We start from the raw sequence: 19658 nt of genomic DNA on the forward strand, positions 1-19658 counted from the left end.
TCAGATGGAAATGAGAAACTTATTGGGAACTGGTGTAAAGGTCACGCTTGTTAAATCCTAAGAAACAACTTGGCTGCATTGTGTTCATGCCCTAGGGATCTGTGGAAGGTTGACCTTAAGAGTGATGACTTAGGGCATCTGTGGAAGACATTTCTAAGCAGATGTTTCTAAGGTGTGACCTGGTTGCTTCTAACAGTCTATGGTAAGATATGGGAGCAAAGAAATGACTTAAAGTTGGAACTTATATTTAAAAGGTGTAAACGACAAAATAAAATGCTAATCCAAGGGGATTCCAAAGAAACCTGGAAAACCAGTTCAGGCCATGACAGGAAGGGGAGGGTGGTTTGGACTCCCTCACTATACCCTCTCCCTGTTGGAGCTTAGGCTCAGCTGACCAGTGTTAACATTAAAACAGGGAGCTTAAGACTGACAAAGCAGACTCTTTGTAGCAATAAGATATCAAATCCCAACCTGATTCTGGTATAGCATCACATGACAGGTGGCAGGCATGGAAGGAAATTAAAGTATTTTATGCCAGAATATATTTCTCTGACACATTTTGGAAGGGCCCTGCAAAGCCGTCTCTTGTGGAGGAAATGTATATTCTGTTGAGAATCTTTTTCCCTTTCCAGGTCTCTTCCTGATTCAGGAGAGATTTATCCAAGAGTCTGGCACCTTTTAGGTTCTGATAAGAGACATTGACCATCTCTTCTCTCTGGAACGTGGAGGCTTCATCTACATAACAAGAAACTTGGCTTCCACAACCCCCTTATCTTAAGCATTGCTTTTTGCTGACTTCAACTTTTTAGATAATTTAACTTTTTCAGCCAATTGCCAATCAGAAAATCTTCAAATCCACCTATGATTTGGAATTCCCCACTTTGAATTGTCCTGCTTTTCCAAACCAAACCAAACCAATGTATACTTTACATGTATTGATTGATATGTCTCCCTAAAACATAAAAGCAGGCCGCAACCCAACCACCTTGCACAGGTGTTCTCAGGACCTTTTGAGGCTGTGCCACAGTTCATGGCTCTCACATGTGGCTCAGAATCAATCTCGTCAAGTGTTTTATGGAGTTTGGCTTTTTTCATCAACAAAGGGAAGCAGAGCATAAAAAATGTGGAAAATTCACAGCCTGGCCATGTGGTAGAAAAGAAAAGGTATTTTCAGGAGACAAATATAAGTAGGCTATGGAGCAGCCAGTTGCTAGAGAGATTAGCATAACTAAAAGGGAGCTAAGTGCTCATATCCAGAACAAAGGGAAAAAGGCCTTGAAGGCCTTTCGGAAATCTCTGAGGTGGTCTTTCCCATAACAGGCCCAGAGGCCAAGAGGGAAAGGATGGTTTTGTGGGCCATGCCCATGGCCACTGCTGCCTGTGCAGCCTTGGGACACTGCTCTCCACATCCTGGTTCCTCTGGCTCCAGCCTTGGCTCAAAGGGCCCCAAGTACAGCTTAGGCTGCTTCTTTGGAGAGTGCAAGCCACTATAAGCCTTGGGAACTTCCATCTGGTGTTAAGCCTGTAGGCCCCCAGAATGCAAGAGTGAAGGAGGCTTGGCATCTTCACTCTAGATTTCAGAAATGTATGAGAAACCCTAGGTGCCCAGAGAGAAGCCTCCTGCCAGCATGGAGCCCTCACAGAGAACCTCTACTAGAGCAGTGCCAAAGAGAATGTGGGGTTGAACCCCCATATAATGTCCCCACCAGGGCACTGCCTAGTGGAGCTGTGGGAAGGGGGCCACTGTCCTCCAGACCCCAGAATGGTAGATCCACTGGCAGTTTGCACCCTGAATCTGGAAAAGCCACAGGCACTCAACTCTATCGTGTGAGAGAAGCCACAGGGGCTACATCCTCCAAAGCCACAGGGGTAGAGTTGTCCAAGGCTTTGGGAGCCCACCCCCTGCACCAGTGTGCCCTGGATATGGGACATGAAGTCAAAGGAGATTACCTTGGAGCTTTAAGATTTAATAACTGCCCTGCTGGATTTCTGACGTGTATGGGGCATGTAGATCCTTTCTTTTTGCCAACTTCTCCCTTGTGGAATGGGAATGTTTACCCAATGTCTGCACTCTCATTGTATTTTGGGAGTCAATTTGTCTTTGATTTCCTAGGCTGATAGGTGGAAGGGACTCATCTTCAGATGAGACTTGGGACTTGGGAATTTTTTGTTGATTCTGGAATGAGGTAAGACTTTGGGGGACTGTTGAGAAGGCATGATTGTATTTTGCAACATGAGAAGGACATGAGATTTGGGGGACCAGGGGTGGAAGGATATGGTTTATATATTTGTCCCCTCCAAATCTCATGTTGTAATATGATTCCCAGTGTTGGAAGTGGGGCCACTAGGAGGTGATTAGATCAAGGGGGCAGATCCCTCATGAATGATTGAGCATCTTCCCCTTGGTGATGAGTGAATTCTCCCCCAGTCAGCTCACACACAGTCTAGTTGTTTAAGTCTGGGCCCCCCCTCAGCCTCTTGCTCCCATTCTTGCCATGTGGCATACCTGCTCTCCCTTCACCTTCTGCTATGATTGTAAGTTTCCTGAGGTCCTCGCCAGAAGCAGATGCTGATGCCATGCTTCCTATAAAGCCTGCAGAACTGTGAGCTAATTCAATCTCTTTCCTTTATAAGTTACCCAGCCTCATGTATTTCTTTACAGTAATGCAAAGGGACAAACACAGGTGGCTCCTGACACACCCCTCATCTTCTCCTTTGTCATCATCTGGCTACTTCCATGTGTGTCTGTGTCCTCTCCTCTCATGAGGACACCAGTCTTTGGATTTGGGACCCATCGAAAATTTAGTATGATATCATCTCAAGTCCTTAAACTAATTTGTAAAGACCCTATTTCTAAATATGGTCACATTCTGAGGTTCCAGGTGGGCATACATTTGGCCAGGGAGATGCCATCAACCCAGCACACCAGCCTACGCAGGTACATTTGCATATAGCTTAGGGTTGACCTTTCCCATGGAAGTATTACATCCCCCTCTGGACTCCAGTTTCACATGTTTTAGAATGCTTCGCCTTGTCCAGCAGGATGAGTCTCTTTTCATTTTTAGTATTTTTCTCTCTCTTCTTTGCATTAGATTAAAAATAATTGACATAGTCTATTGATGCATCTTTAAGTTTTCAGTTCCTTCTCATGTCTGCTCCATTCTGTTATGAAACTTGAGTAATGTTTTTCTATTTCTTTTCTTTTTTAATAAAATAGAGATGGGATTTCTCCATGTTGCCCAGGCTGGTCTCAAACTCCTGGGATCAAGTGATCCTTCCTTCTTGGCCTCCCAAAGTGCTAGGATAACAGGCATGGGCCACTGTGCCTGGCCAAATGATGTTTTTCATTTCAGAATCATACTTTTAGTTCTAGAATTTTCATTTGGTTCTTGTTAATATTTTCCCTTTCTTACAGAGATTCCCCATCTAGTCACTCATTATAACCATATTGTCCTTTAAGTCTTTGAACATATTTAACATGACTTCTTTAAAGTCCTTGTGTGAAAACTGGGTCTGCATCTAGGTCATCTTGGAGTTGATCTCCATTGATCCCTTTTTCTTCTGACTATGGATCACATTTTCATGTTTCTTTGCATATATGGTAATTTTGGATGTGCACCTGATGTTGTTGATAACATGTGGTACAGGCTATGGGTTTTGCGTTCTTCCTTGGCAGGGCATTGATTGTTTTTTTCAATGTTAGGAAACAGCTTGAGTTGACTCAAACTCCCAAGTCTGTCTGCCTGGCAGTTGGCAGTAGCTGGAATCTCAGTTCTCTCGACCTTACAGGTGCTGCTTTCTGCTGGGCCCTTTGGAGTTTTCCCTACCCATGCACACCTAAGGGATCGGCCAGAGGTTTCAGTGGAGTTTACTTGCAGATTGTGGGGTTTCCCTTTGGTGACCTTCTCCTTTATGGACATCTTCTCTTCATTTCCAGCTGCTCTGAAAATGCAGCCCTGCATCCCACTCCTCACCAGGAGGGCTGCAGTTTCCTGCTTGAACTCTAGCTGCACCCATTACATGCCCTGGGGTGTGACTTCAGACCAATATTTCCGGGAATAATCCTTACTAGTGTTTGCCTACTTCTGGTCATGTTCCAGTGCCTGCAATTGGTGTGTGTGGGTGTTGTGTGTGCTTACAGCTTTTCCAGTGTTTATAATTGCCATCTGCCAAAGGGCTAGTCTGATATTAGCTGCTCCAGCATTACTGGAATCAGAACTACTTTCTCTCATGTGGTTTTTCATTTTCATTTCCCTGTTGACTAGTGTGGTTCAACACCTTTTCATATGTTTAGCGGCTATTTGGATATCTTCTGTAAAACATCTGTTCAATTCTTTTGCCTATTCCTTGTTGAATTATTTGATTTTTTTTCTCGTTGGTTTACAGGGGTCTTCTTTATATTATGGATCTGTTTGTGTCAGTCAGTTATATATGTTTATAGGAAACATTGAGAAAAACAAAAGATTAGTAGGTGCCTTCCATGGAAAGCAAGGCATCGTCTTGTACCCTCTTCCAGGTTATTTCATTCTATTGAGCTCTGCATCTTTTATTTCCTTTGACCTATTTTACACCTCTATAAGCCAGGGGTTCCCTTCATCACACCATATCACACTATGTCACACCAGGGATGTCACACCACATCACACTATGTAACTCCTCATCACACTGGGGATGTCGTACCAGGTCACACCCCATCATGCCACATCACACTGTGTCACACCGCATCACATCACACCAAGTATGTGACACCCTGACACAGCACATCAGACATCACATCATGTCACACCACACTTCATCACACCCCACCCCACCAGAGTTGTCACACCCCATCACACCACATCACATTACGTCACGCCATGTCAAACTACATCATACCCCATTACCCCAGGGATGTTATGCCACATCACATTATGTCACACCACAATACACCACATCAAATTGTGTCACACCACATCACACCCCATCACACCAGGGATGTTATGCCACATCACCTTATGTCATGCCACATCACACCACATCACACCCCATCACACCGTGGATGTCACCCGTCATCACACCACTTCACATAATGCCACACAACATCACACCCCATCACACCAGGGGCGTCACGCCCCATCAGAACACGTCACATTATGCCAAACCACATCACATCATGTCACACCACACCACACCACACTATGTCACAGCCTGTTACACTTCATCACACCACATCACACTAGGGATGTCACACCTTGTCCCATTACATCACATCATGTCACACCATTCCACATCAAACCATATTATGCCCCATCATACCAGGGATGTCATACCATATAATACTATGTCACACTGCATCACACCAGGGATGTAACACCACATCACACCATGTCCAACCTTGTAGCCCAACACCACATCACAGAAGGGACATTACACCATGTCATACCACATCACACCATGCAACTCCTCATCACATGAGGGAGGTCGAACCCTGTCACACCCCATCATGCCACATCACACCATGTCACACTGCATTACATCACACCAACGATGTGACACTCTGTCACACCACATCACACATGTCACACCAGAGATGTCACACTCCATCACATCACATCACATCACACCCGTTAAATGATATCATACCCCATCACACCAGGGATGTCACACCGCATCACATCAGGTCATATCACATCACACTACGTCACACCACATCACACCAGGGGTGTCACACTCTGTCACAGGATGTCCCACCATGTCACACCATACCACATCACACCATATCATATCCTATCATACTAGGGATGTCATGCCCCATCCCACTATGTCACACCACATCACACCATGTCCAACCATGTCACATCACATCACACCACATCACACCATGTCACACCAGGGATGTCACACTCTGTCATACCACATCACACCATGTCCTGTCACATCACACATTACACCCTGGCACACCATGGATATCACACCACATCACACCATGTCATGTTACATCACAGCATGGACTGCTAGGGGGTGCGTGGAGGCAGCCTTGCTGGAGAGTTGAGGGAGGGTCCTGGGGCTGGGCGTGGTGTTCCTGCAGGAGGACTGGCCCTCTGGAGGATGCTCGGTTCCAGGTGGAAAGGGGGAGGTGGGGCCTGGGTGCTTCAGGGAGGGGCCATCCTTGGGCTTGGGATAGAGCCGGTGATGCAGCTGCTGCCCGCCCTGCACCCCAGGTGCTCTCTCCCTCACCCCCCGCGGGGCTGCAGCAGCGTGTCCTGAGAGTTAAAGGGCTGGGCTTCAGCACCCAGTTCAGGCCAGGCACCCTGAAGCCCACCCTCCAGCGGCGAGCCCTCCCACGGCACAGCAGGGTCCGGGCTCTGGGGATTTCACCCCCAACTCTGGTGCAGCTCCAGCTGCTCGATGCCACACAAACGAATCCAACCACTCCTCCTTCCTGGGTGAGATGGTCTCTCTCCTGCCACAGGCAACTCCGACGGCATTTTCCAGCCACCGCAGCCACCGCAGCCACTGCAGTAACAAGACCCTGTCCTTGACTGAGTTCCAGCCAGGCTCCTCGGAGCCTCTCCACTCGGCCTCAACCTTGGCTTGTAAAGACTTGAGCAGACACTAACAGTTTCTAACAGCTTCTGGCCGTACCCCTAGGCCGACCCCTGCCCCGTCAACACCTGCCTGAGAAAGCTCCGTGCACCAGAACTCACCGTTTGGACCAACCCCGACCTCCCTTTCTCAGGGTATCTGCTGAGAGGGCCGCAACCACACGACCTTCTATCCGTTCCCGATGTCTGTGCATTTCCTGTGACCCAGGAGGGTCTTTCTCAAGACTTGAGAGCCGCTCCCTGAAGTGTCCCCATTGGGAAGGATGGGGCCTGTGTCTCCAGGCTCTGGGAGGACAGAATCCTGACCTCAACAGTGGCCGGCACGGACACAGCGGGTCCCATCCCGGGGACGCTGACCAGCGCTGGGCAACTTTTCCCTTCCCCGAAGACTGAGCCCCGAGCACCCTCCCTGCTCCCCCTACCACCTCCCTTTACAAGGCTGTGGCCTCTGCACAGATGAAGGTGAGTCCAGGTCATGCCGGACTCTTTCTTCTGTTGCAATAGTTATTTCTGTTGAAAATCTGTCCTTGCTACATGACCTAGTGCCCAGGGGGATGCTGAGACAGGATGAATGTATTCTGCATGTGAGAAGAACATGAATTTTGGGGCCCAGAGTCTGGACTGTGATGGGTTAAATTGTGGCCCCTACAAATTCATATATTCAAGTCTTAATCCCTGGCCTCACAATGTGACTATTTGGAGATGGGGTCTTTACAGAGGTCATTAAGTTCATAGGGGGTCACTAATCTAATCCGATGTGTGTTCTAAGAAGAGAAGCTTAGGACACGGGCACACAGAGGGATGGCCACGTGAGGACCAGGGAGGAGACGGTGTCTACAAGCCAAGGAGAGAGGGCTTGAGAGAAACCAGCCCTGCCTGCATCCTGATCTCAGATTCCTGGTCTCTAGGCCTGGGAGGATCCATGTCTGCCGTGGGAGCCGCCCCGCTGTGGTCCTGAGCTGACTCACACAGATCTGACACCCACCTCTCGCTTCGGACCATGGTTGGTTCTGGAAGGCCCTCCCTGTGGCTCTGCCTGGCCAGCCTGAGCCAGCTCCCAGCCTCGACCCAGCTTTCCCTGGAGGCCCTGTCCCCCGCAGAGTGACCAGGGCAGGCAGCACCGTGCCCAGCAGGAGGAGAAACTGCATCCATGTAGAAAAGAGGAGAAGCCCCGGGGGTCCATGTAGCGACAGGGGCCAGGGAGGGTCGCTCGGGCAATGCGTGTGGCTGCAGGAGGCGGGGGGCGTGTGCAGGGAGCCCCCGAGGTGCAGCTGGACCAGCCTCCTCCTGACCGTGTTTCCCACCGGGGGCAGGAGGCACGTGGACACAGGAAGGCGGCTCCCATCACGAAGTACAAGACTTAAAAAGGATATTTTATTGTCATCACAAAAGAAACATCAAAGACAATTAATGAACTTTAGAAAATTTAAAAGAAGAAAAGCTACCAAAGCTGAAATGGTGGCACCTCCTTCGAGTGAGCCCGGGAGTCCTCCCTGACGGCTGAGGCAGGCGCTGGCCGCACTCCCGCTCGAGTCTCCCTTCCTGTCTGCGGATTCTGCGTGACAGTCACGGAACGGCGTGATGGGGGCAGCAGAGCGTGGGGGCCTCTGTCCAGCACTCGTGGCCAGCAGCCCTGCTTTCGCAAGAACACGGGCACCCTCTTTGGCGTCTTGCCTCTCCACCTGGTGCCCCCAGAGTGGCTGCTTGTTCCTGCTGCACGTGACCCGGGACTGGACGCCAGCCTCTGTGATGAGTTCTGGCTGTGTCCACGCTCCTGGCTCTCCCGGTGTCCCTCCACCTCTCTCCCCGATGCTCCTGGGCCTCCTCTGTCCTCAGGCCCCACCAAGGCTGAGTCTTGCCCGCCTGGGACCTGGTCACCAGCCTTCTCTGGGAGGCCTGTCTGGGCAGATGCCCAGCCCTTCCTTGGGCTATCCTCACCCTTGCACTGTGGGGCTCCTGCAGCGGCCACATGGCCCAGGCTCTTCTCTGAGTGATCTCGGTGGACTGGAGTGGGTGGGAGGTGGCAGTGTCCTGGGCCTGGCCCCTTCTCTCCCCAGTGCGGACTCTGGGGCTGGCTGTCCCTGCGGGTCGAGTTCCACCCGAGAATCCAGCAGTGTGGGCAGGCAGCCAAGGGGTGGTGCTGGCACCGAGACTGTTCTCAGGAGCCAGAGAGCAGCGTTCTTTGCTTGAAATCAGAACAACCTCATTCCTCATGTCAGGAGTTCACGGGAGTGCCCGGAATGGAGGCTGGCTGGCTGCGGGCTGGGAGGAAGGCCGTCTGAGTGAGCCTTCGCAGCTCTTGGAAGCCTCCCCAACAGGGCCTGATGGTGCTGTGGCTTCCCTACCTTGGCGGCTGATTTTCCCACTCACCAACTGGAAACCACGCCTGTGTTCAGGAGGCTGGTGTGGACGGGGTTGGCTCCAGGGCGAGGTCCTGCCTGGGTGGGGGCCTGGGATGCCGGTCACTGACTCCTTTTGTGTGAGCACCTGGTGGTCTGGAGGGCAGGGACGTCCTGCTGAGGGGACACCTGGCCCCCAGCGCCCTGCATGCATCAAGCAGCGGAGGTCTGGGGTAGACCTGCTATGCACAGGGTCTGGAAGGGGGGCGTGTCAGGGGTCAGAAGGTGACTTCGAGGCCAGAGAGCCATGGGGTTCAGGGCGGTGAGGTCGGGGGCAGGTGTGGCCTGGGTGGTGGCTGAGCATGGCCCACGGCTCGTGTGTGGGGTCTGGGCGGCCCTGGACACCCCGCAGAGGGTGGCCCTAGGCCCCCTGCCCGATCATGTTCCTGTAGTCGGGGACGATGGTCTGCTTCAGGTCCACCACCGAGGAGAAGATCCACTTCACCTGTAGGCAAGGCACAGCACAGGGGTGAGCGAGGCCACAGCCCTGTCCCCGAGCCCCACCCACCCCTCAGGGCACTGAGGGCCACATCTCTTCCCCCAAGGTCCACCCACCCCTCATGCCACCCAGGCCACAGCCCTGCCCCTGAGGCCCATCCGCCCTTCAGTCCACCCAGGTGCCAGGGCCTCACCACTGCCTGCTCTGAGGCCTGGACATGGAGAGCAGAGCCAGGGCACCAACAGCATGTGGGCAGTACAGAAGACAGCGTCAGGGACAGGTGGAGACAGTGTGGGGGATAGTGTTGGGGACAGGTGGGGACAGAGTGGGGGACAGTGTCAGGGACAGGAGGAGACAGAGTGGTGGACAGTGTTGGGGACAGGAGGAAACAGTGTGGGGGACATTTTTGGGGACAGGAGGGGACAGTGTGGGGGACAGTGTTGGGGACAGGTGGGGAAAGCATGGTGTACAGTGTTGGGGACTGGTGGGGACAGCGTGGGGGAAAGTGTTGGGGACAGGAGGGGACAGCGTGGGGGACAGTGTTAGGGAGAGGTGGGAACAGTGTAGGGGACAGTGTCAGGGGGAGGTGGGGACAGCGTGGGGGACAGTGTCAGGGAAAGGTGGGGACAGTGTGGGGGACAGTGTCAGGGAGAGGGGACAGTGTGGGGGACAGCGTCAGGGAGAGGTGGGGACAGCATGGGGGACAGTGTCAGGGAGAGGTGCGGACAGCATGGACAGTGTCGGGACAGGTGGGGACAGTGTGAGGACATTGTTGGGACAGGTGGGGACAGTGTGGGGGACAGTGTCGGGGACAGGTGGGAACAGCGTGGGGGACAGTGTCAGGGACAGGTGGGGACAGCATTGGGGAGAGTGTCAGGGACAGATGGGGACAGTGTGGGGGACAGCATCAGGGACAGGTGGGGACAGCATGGGGGACAGTGTCAAGGACAGGTGGGGACAGCATGGGGTACAGTGTCGGAGATGGGTGGGGACAGCATGAGAGACAGTGTCGGGGACAGTGTCAGGGACAGGTGGGGACAGCATGTGGGACAGTGGGACAGGTGGGGACAGCATGGGGGACAGTGTCAGGGACAGGAGGAGACAGCATGGGGGACAGTGTTGCATACAGGAGGGGAAAGCATGGGGACAGTGTCAGGGACTGTAGGGGACAGAGTGGGGGACAGTGTCAGAGACAGGAGGAGACAGCATGGGGACAGTGTTGGGGACAGGAGGGGACAGCGTGGGGGACAGTGTCGGGGACAGGTGGGGACAGTATGGGGGACAGTGTCGGGGACAGGTGGTGACAGCGTGGGGGACAGTGTCAGGGACAGGAGGAGACAGGAGAAGACAGCATGGGGGACAGTGTGAGGTACAGGAGGAAACTGTGGGGGACATTGTTGGGGACAGGAGGGGACAGCGTGGGGGACAGTGTCAGGGATAGGAGGAGACGAGAAGACAGTGTAGGGGACAGTGTCGGGACAGGAGGGGACAGGAGGAAACAGCATGGGGGACATTCAGGGACAGGAGGGGACTGTGGGGGACAGTGTTGGGGACAGGTGGGGATAGCATGGGGTACAGTGTTGGGGACTGGTGGGGACAGTGTGGGGAATAGTGTCCGGGACAGGTGGGGATAGTGTGGGGGACAGCGTCAGGGACAGGTGGGGATAGTGTGGGGGACAGCGTCAGGGACAGGTGGGGATAGTGTGGGGGACACTGTCAGTGACAGTTTGTGACAGCACAGGGGACAGTGTCAGGGACAGGGAACGTGTGGGGGACAGTGTCAGGGACAGTTTGTGACAGTGTGGGGGACAGTGTCAGGGACAGGTGGGTGCAGCATTGGGGATAGTGTCAGGCACATGTGGAGACAGTCTGGGGGACACTGTTGGACAGGTGGGTACAGCGTTGGGGAGTGTCAGGGACAGGTGGCGACAGCGTTGGGGATAGTGTCAGGGACATGTGGAGACAGTCTGGGGGACACTGTTGGACAGGTGGGTACAGAGTGAGGGACAGTTTGTGAGAGCGTGGGGGACAGCGTCAGGGACAGGTGGGGACAGCCTGGGGACAGTGTCAGGGACAGTGTGTGACAGCATGGGGGCAATGTCAAGGACAGCTGGGGACAACGTGCGGCCGACCTTGAAGAAGGTGACGGTGGCACTGTAGCACACGCTTAGCAGGAAGAGTGTGATGAAGATGGTGATGGTCGTCCACAGCCCGTCCAGCTCCCCGTCCTGCGCCTCCGCACAGCTCTCCTCCAGTTGCAGCTCTGGACAGGAAGGGGGTGGTCAGTGCTGTGTCCCCCTGGGCTTGGGCCTCTGGGGGTGATTCCCTCTGTGGCGGGGCCTAGGATGTAGGGCCCGGCCTCGATGGCCCAACAGTGTCCTGAGGTCAGCTCCCGGAAGCTGTCCATCCTGGGCACCGGCTTTGGCCCTGGGGCTCAGCCAGACACCCGGCCCTAAATAGCGACCTGGCCCTCAGCAGGACCCGCTCCCCGTCTCCCGTGTCCCTCCCTGAGCCCCAGAGGGCAGGAGATATGAAGCCCACCCCTCATGTGACCCCAGGAGCAGGGAAGGGCTGTATTGGGAAGTGGGCCAGGGCCAGGGACGTGACGTGGTGTGTGATCCCCTGTGTGTGTGTGGCGGCTGCAGGGGCACTTTGTGAGAGGAGGACTGGGTTTGTCTGAGCTGGTCAGCAAGTGGAGAAGCTGCCGAGAGGCTCGTGGGCCTTGAGGTGCCGCATGGGGCTTGTAGGGGCCTGTGTCCGAGGAGTGTTCACGTGTGCGAGGACCTTGCTCTGGTCTGGGTGCTGTGCAGTTCGCCCGGGTGAGGCTCCGTGTGTGAGGCGTGCACGTGTGTGTGTGGTGGCCGTGTGGCCGGCCAACCTCAGTGCGGGGTTTGTTGAACGGGTCTGGGCTGAGTGTGTGTGTGGGCATCTGGACCAGTCCCTCCATAGGGCCCGAGAGTGCATGTCCCCGGAGTCGGTTGTGTCCCCATGCGGGTGCGAGGCTGGGCAGGGCTGCCAGGGGTTAGTGCCGTGGGGGTAGATGGGTGAGGGAGGGCCTGTCCCTACGCACATGGACTAGGCATGCCCCCGAGTGGGCATGGGGGGTCGGAGGACAGGGCGCTCACAGAACAGGACAGTCTCCTACAGAGGCAGGGGCTGTGTGTCTGTCCCCAGGGGCTCCTAGGGCTTCTCGTGGCTCAGCCCAGGGCAGGTGCTGCTGGAGGGAGGGCCACGCTGGCAAATCCCCCACCCTGCCGAGGGCAGCCCCTGGCTGAGCCCCACCCTAGGCGGCCCAGGCACACCTGCACAGCCTGGGCCAGTGTGGGGACAGTGGGACCCGCTCTGCCTCCCTCATGCCACTCAGGCCTCAGACTCGGCCTGACCCGTGGAAAGAACCATCACAGTCTCGCAGGGGCCCAGGGCAGTGGTGGGTGCTTTATTTCCATGCTGGGTGCCTGGGAAGTATGTAGACGGGGTACGTGCCAAGCATCCTCGTGCGACCGCGAGAGCCCGGGGAGCGGGGGCTTGCCGGCCGTCGCACTCATTTACCCCGGGGACAGGGAGAGGCTCTTCTGCGTGTAGTGGTTCTGCAGACCCTCATGCATCACGGAGCATGAGAAGACGTTCCCCTGCTGCCACCTGCTCTTGTCCACGGTGAGCTTGCTATAGAGGAAGAAGGAGCCGTTGGAGTCCAGCATGGGAGGCGTGGTCTTGTAGTTGTTCTCCGGCTGCCCATTGCTCTCCCACTCCACGGCGATGTCGCTGGGGTAGAAGCCTTTGACCAGGCAGGTCAGGGTGACCTGGTTCTTGGTCATCTTCTGGGATGGGGGCAGGGTGTACACCTGTGGTTCTCGGGGCTGCCCTGTAGGGACAGAGGTTGGTACAGCGGTCACTCCCAGGGCAGAGGGTGGGCCAAGCCGGCCTCTGTCCACGTGGCCTTCGCGCTCCGTGGGTCCCACCTTTGGTTTTGGAGATGGTTTTCTCGATGGGGGCTGGGAGGCCTTTGTTGGAGACCTTGCACTTGTACTCCTTGCCGTTCAGCCAGTTCTGGTGCACGACGGTGAGGACGCTGACCACATGGTACGTGCTGTTGTACTGCTCCTCCCACGGCTTTGTCTTGGCATTATGCACCTCCACGCCGTCCACGTACCAGTTGAACTTGACCTCAGGGTCTTCGTGGCTCACGTCCACCACCACGCACGTGACCTCAGGGGTCCGGGAGATCATGAGGGTATCCTTGGGTTTTGGGGGGAAGAGGAAGACTGACGGTCCCCCCAGGGGTTCAGTTGCTGAGGAAGAGATGGAGGCGGACGTGTCAGCACCCGGTTGGGGCCTGTCCCTGGACGCAGGCTACTCTAGGGCACCTGTCCCGCCTTGAGCTGGAGGGCGAGGCCTGGGCTGGCTTACTTGCACATGGTGGGCATGTGTGAGTTGTGTCACAACATGGGGTTTTGGGCTCTGCAGAGAGAAGATTGGGAGTTACTCAGATCTGGGAGGAGAGGTGTCTGAGCTGAGGGAGTGGAGATCTTGGCCTTTGGGGTGGGCTTAGGTCAGGGGCAGGGTCTTCCCGGATATGGCTCTTGGCCAGTCTAAGTGCAGCACCTGCCCCTTTGTGCGCAGGGCCTGGGGTAGGGGCTTCCAGCCTGTGGCTGCCTGGAGCCTGGTGGAAAAAGCCAGAAGACCCTCTCCCTGAGCATGAGTGGGGCGGGCAGAGGCCTCCGGGTGAGGAGACAGATGGGGCCTGCCTTGCTGCCCTGGACTGGGGCTGCACAGCCGGGGTACGTCCAGGCAAGAGGGCTGAGCCTGGCTTCCAGCAGACACCCTCCCTCCCTGTGCTGGCCTCTCACCAACTGTCTTGTCCACCTTGGTGTTGCTGGGCTTGTGATCTACGTTGCAGGTGTAGGTCTGGGTGCCCAAGCTGCTGGAGGGCACGGTCACCACGCTGCTGAGGGAGTAGAGTCCTGAGGACTGTAGGACAGCCGGGAAGGTGTGCACGCTTCTGGTCAGGGCCCCTGAGTTCCACGACACCGTCACCGGTTCGGGGAAGTAGTCCTTGACCAGGCAGCCCAGGGCCGCTGTGCCCTCAGAGACGCTCCTGGAGGAGGGCACCAGGGGGAAGACCGATGGGCCCTTGGTGGAGGCTGCAAGAGAGGTGGTGCCATGTGACCGCGGTGTGGGACAGAGCTGGGCCCAGGGTGCAGAGGCCCCTCGGTTCTTGTCTATCCGCGAGGGTCCAGGCAGGGTCCAGTGTCTGGGCTCACGGGCATTGAGTGTGCACCTGGCTGGTGCCACCTGCCTCACCTTAGCCCCCTCCCTGCCCCAAAGCCAAAGTCAGGCCCGGCCTGCCCCAGAAAGCTTGCAGGACTGGTGGCCCTGTGGTGCCCTTCTGCAGGCACCCCTGCAGCCTAGGGGGCGGGGCTCGGCAGCCAGGTCAGTGCTTTGTCTCAAAAAAAACAAAAACAAAAACAAAAAACAAAACAAAACAAAAAACAAACAAATAAAAAGTTGTAAAAGGATTGTGGAAAAGGGATCTTATGTGGTCAAAGGCGGCTGTGATTGGATTTATTTATTTATTTTTTTGAGACAGAGTTTCACTCTTGTTGCCTAAGCTGGAGTGCAATGGTGTGATCTCGGTTCACTGCAACCTCTGCCTCTTGGGTTCAAGCGATTCTCCTGCCTCAGCCTCCAGAGTAGCTGGGATTACAGGTGCCCACCACCACGCCCAGCTAATTTTTATAGTTTTAGTAGAGACAGGGGTTTCACCACGTTGGCCAGGCTGGTCTCGAACTCCTGACCTCATGATCCACCCGCCTAGGCCTCCCAAAGTGTTGGGATTACAGGCATGAGCCACTGCACCTGGCCGGATTTATTTATTTATTTATTTTTGAGACAGGGTCCCACTGTGTTGCCTAGGCAGCAGTGCAGTGGCACTCAGCACTGAGGCTGAGGGAGGTTGAGGTGGGAGGGCTCAAGCAATCCTCCCACCTCAGCCTCCCAAGTAGCTGGGACTACGGGCACGTGCCACCATGCCTGGCCAATTTTTTTTTTGTATTTTTTGTAGAGACAGGGCTTCCCCATGTTGCCCAGGCTGATCTCAAACTCCTGGGCTTAAGTGATCCACCCTCCTGGAATGCTGGGACTACAGGTGTAAGCCACCTTGCCCAGCCTGGATGGAATTATTTATAAGGTTTAATTAAAATTAGCTTTAATATTAACAGTTCATGTGAAACTAGAATTTGGTCTTCTCTGTTAAAGTGACAGTTTTCTGGAATATTGGTCTGCTCTTCATTATGGCAGGTTTTTCTTTTTTTTTTTTCACCTTGAAAAATATATATTTACAGGAACAATTCCCCATTCTCTGGGACTCTTTAGAAAAAAAAAAGGTCCATTTTGGGGAAGCAAAACAGTGGAGACGAGTGTAGCACCGTCCCCCAAATCACCAACCCCCAGGTCCCAAGGCCTGGGCTGGGCCAGGGCTGACAGGGAAGCCCAGGAGTCTTTTGAACCCACTCTTCCTGCCTAGAATAGAGACAGGACAGGCTTTATGTCCCCCATTCCTCCCTCCCACCTCCAGGGACATTGAAAGTGTCCTTTGTACCTACCTGTAGGAAATTGGGGGGCTGGGAGGGAGGGAACTGAAAATACACATTTGTTATCAAAAATAAACATCTGGGGGGGAGGCGGCAGGAAGATTCCCTCCCAAATCCCTTTCTTCACACCCACCCCACCAAATATAGGAAGAGATGACTCCCTCTCCCCTATTGAAAAGCCCCATTTAAAAATAGATTATACTATCAAAATGGCAGCACGGGAGAGACAGGGAGACCTGGAGTACTGGCTGGAGGGGCCCCCCCAGACAGGAACCACCCCCACAAAACCCCTCCATGGGAGGAAACAGGCAGGACCCCAGGGAGTTTGGCAGACAAAGGAATGGCTTCTCAGGGGGAAGAAGAACAAAGGGACATTCCTCCCTGGCCAAAAAGTTGGTTAAAAAAGGATAAGCTGTCTGAGAGAAAGGTTGGGGAGGTGGAAATTTCTATTCCAAGGGTGTGATTCTGCCTTGGCCAAGACTCCCAACCCATTAAATGGTACAAATTCTTCCTGGACCCCGAGTATGGCCAGGAATAATAAAACGAAACTAACTTCTACTCACATCCTAAAATGGACACAGGGCTCCCTCATCTCCCCACGGGCAGGCCGAGGAATGAAGAAAGAAAGGTCGTTCTCAAGTCAGACCCCGATTGTCCTGTCTTGGGGAAAAAAGCGGGGAGGTGGGGGAGACGTCCTGACCACCCTAATAGGTTAGGTCAGGCGCTTCCCAGTGGCCTTCAAAAAATAAATAAATAAACCGCCCCTACCATTGAAGTAGGAGACGTGTCAGGGCAGCCACTGGGGGACGGACAGAAAAGAGAGAAAAGAGAGAAGCTGTGGAAGCTGAGTGTTTTCTGTGGAGGAGTTAATGAGAGTCACTCCTGGGAGAAATCCTTCCCAAGGATCCCCACCCCACCACAATCAGAGCATGAGTCTTTCAGTTGAACTGTGTTTCTCCTTGAGAGAGCACGGATGGAGGGACCCCAGAAGGGGTGGTGGTGCTGGTGGTGGTCATGGCCTCTGCGGCCCTGGCGAGAGCACCGCGGGGGTCGAGAGGCCAGCCACGCCGATGGAAGGGATGTGCACCTGGGCGCCGCCACTGGACGGAAGCTGGCAGGAGAGCTTGGCCGGGCTGCGGGGCGCAGCGGGACTCAGGCTGCTCCGGAAGTGAACGCTGGGAGGCAGCGAGCTGGGTGTCAGCAGCGCCGGGGTCAACGTGTGCGTAGGAAGCAGGGACAGGGTCAGCGCCGGCCTCGGCGCCTGGAGGCCGGAGCCAGTTCCCGATCCTGGGGTCCGTTCGGGTCCCGGCGCACCTAGCAGGCTCGGGCTGAGTGGAAGCTCTAGGTCCCGGGGCTTCCGGCCCTTCTGCGGCTGGGAGATCTGAGGGCTGGAAGCCGCGTGGCCGCCCGCCTGCCCTGCGGTGTCCATAAGGACCTCGGCAGCCACGCTGGCACGCCCTCCTGTGGAGGGACTTCAGGCTCGGCCTTGGCGGTTTCTGGCACGAACCCTCTCTCCCCCGCGAATTCCAGCTCTTCCTCGGGCCCTTCCACTTCCACTTCCGGGGGCAAAGGGCGGCGCAAGCCCGGCTCCACATTCGGCTCTTCCAGTTTCGGGTTTGGGGCCTCGGGCGGGGTCAGGATGACCTGCAGAGGGAAGCCGGCTTCCTCAGCCTCCAGGCAGGCCTCCCAGGGGCTTGGACTGCAGGAGCTGCGTTGGGGAGCACCGCTGCAGGCCGAGGCTGAGGGGGTGGCTGCGGCTGCAGAGACTGGATGGTGAAGGTGGAACAGAGGCCCGAGCGCATGTACTTGTTCCGGCTGTTGCGCGCCAAACCGCCAGGGCCTGCCATTCCTGCACCCTTGGGTGTGCCTGGCTTTCCTGAGGCAGTGCCCCCTGGGGCGGCATGTGCAGCAGCAGGGGCCACAACTGCCATGGTGAAGTAACCGACACCTCTGGGTGGGGCGGGCAGTCCTCACTCAGTGGAGCACCCTGCGACCTCAGGATAGGACACAAACTTGTAGACTTAATGCCATGTCAAATTTGTTCTCTATCTTGAGCGGGGATCCAGAATCGAATAGTAAAAGAACATTAACTCCAGAGGCCACGAAAGAAATTGAATTAGTTGAAGAAAAAATTCAGCCAGCACAAGTAAATAGAATAGACCACTTAGCCCCACTCCGACTTTTGATTTTTGCTACTGCACATTCTCCAACAGGCATCATTGTTCAAAACACAGATCTTGTGGAGTGGTCCTTCCTTCCTCACAGTACGATTAAGACTTTTACATTGCACTTGGATCAAACGGCTACATTAATTAGTCAGGCAAAATTACGAATAATAAAATTGTGTGGAATTGACCCAGATAAAATCATTGTTCCTGTAAACAAGGAACAGGTTAGACAAGCCTTTATAAATTCTGGTGCATGGCAGATGGGTCTTGCTGATTTTGTGGGAATTATTGATAATCATTACCCCAAAACGAAAATCTTCCAGTTTTTAAAATTGACTACTTGGATTTTACCTAAAATTACCAGACAGAAACCTTTAAAAAAATGCTCTGACGGTGTTTACTGATGGTTCTAGCAATGGAAAAGTGGCTTACACTGGGCCAAAAGAACGAGTCACTGAAACTCAATATCACTCAGCTCAAAGAGCAGAGTTGGTTGCTGTCATTTCAGTGTTATAAGATTTTAATCAGCCTATTAGCATTGTATCAGATTCTGCATATGTAGTACAGGGTACAAAGGATGTTGAGACAGCCCTAATTAAATATAGCATGGATGATCAGTTAAACCAGCTGTTTAATTTGTTACAACAAACTGTGAGAAAAAGAAATTTCCCATTTTATATTACTCAATTCGAGCGCATACTAATTTACCAGGGCCTTTAACTAAAGCAAATGAACAAGCTGACTTGCTAGTGTCATCTGCCTTCATGGAAGCACAAGAACTTCATGCCTCAACTCATGTAAATGCAACAGGACTAAAAAATAAATTTGGTATCACATGGAAACAGGCAAAAAATATTGTACAGCATTGCACCTAGTGTCAAGTCCTACACCTGCCCACTCAGGAGGCAGAAGTTAATCCCAGAGGTCTATGTCCTAATGCGTTATGGCAAACGGATGTCACACCTGTACCTTCATTTGGAAAATTATCATTTGTCCATGTGACAGTTGATACTTATTCACATTTTGTATGGGCAACCTGCCAGACAGGAGAAAGTACTTCCCATGTTAAAAGACATTTATTGTCTTGTTTTGCTGTCATGGGAGTTCCAGAAAAAATTAGATAATGGGCCAGGATACTGTAGTAAAACATTTCAAAAATTCTTAAATCAGTGGAAAATTACACATACAACAGGAATCCTGTATAATTCCCAAGGACAGGCCATAATTGAAAGAACTAATAGAACACTCAAAATCTCAACTGGTGAAACAAAAAGAAGAAAAAGACAGGAGTATAACGCTCCCCAGATGCAACTTAACCTAGCAATCTATACTTTAAATTGTTTAAACATTTATAGAAATCAGACCACTACTTCTGCAGAACAACATTTTACTGGCAAAAAGAGCAGCCCACATGAAGGAAAACTGATGTGGTGGAAAGACAACAAAAACAAGACATGGGAAATAGGGAAGGTGATAAC

General features: G+C 53.7%; 2 pseudogenes and 1 further gene across 1 annotated transcript; all 3 read right to left on the bottom strand.

Moving 5' to 3' along the window:
* The window catches only part of IGH (immunoglobulin heavy locus), a 1293408-nt gene that overhangs the window by 68845 nt on the left and 1204905 nt on the right, over positions 1-19658 (bottom strand).
* Positions 12968-14759, bottom strand: IGHGP (immunoglobulin heavy constant gamma P (non-functional); annotated as a pseudogene). Its single transcript is given in 4 exon segments — positions 12968-13285; positions 13383-13712; positions 13831-13881; positions 14271-14759. Coding segments are annotated over 4 exon segments (1188 nt in total).
* On the bottom strand, positions 14296-17526 carry ELK2AP (ETS transcription factor ELK2A, pseudogene; annotated as a pseudogene). The gene is made up of 3 exons (NR_046211.1): positions 17100-17526; positions 16576-16672; positions 14296-14563 (listed from the first exon to the last, which is right to left on the bottom strand). The product of NR_046211.1 is annotated as an ETS transcription factor ELK2A, pseudogene (transcript).

This window comes from Homo sapiens, chromosome 14 (genome assembly GCF_000001405.40).
Source record: "Homo sapiens chromosome 14, GRCh38.p14 Primary Assembly".
Classification (NCBI taxonomy): Eukaryota; Metazoa; Chordata; class Mammalia; order Primates; family Hominidae; genus Homo; species Homo sapiens.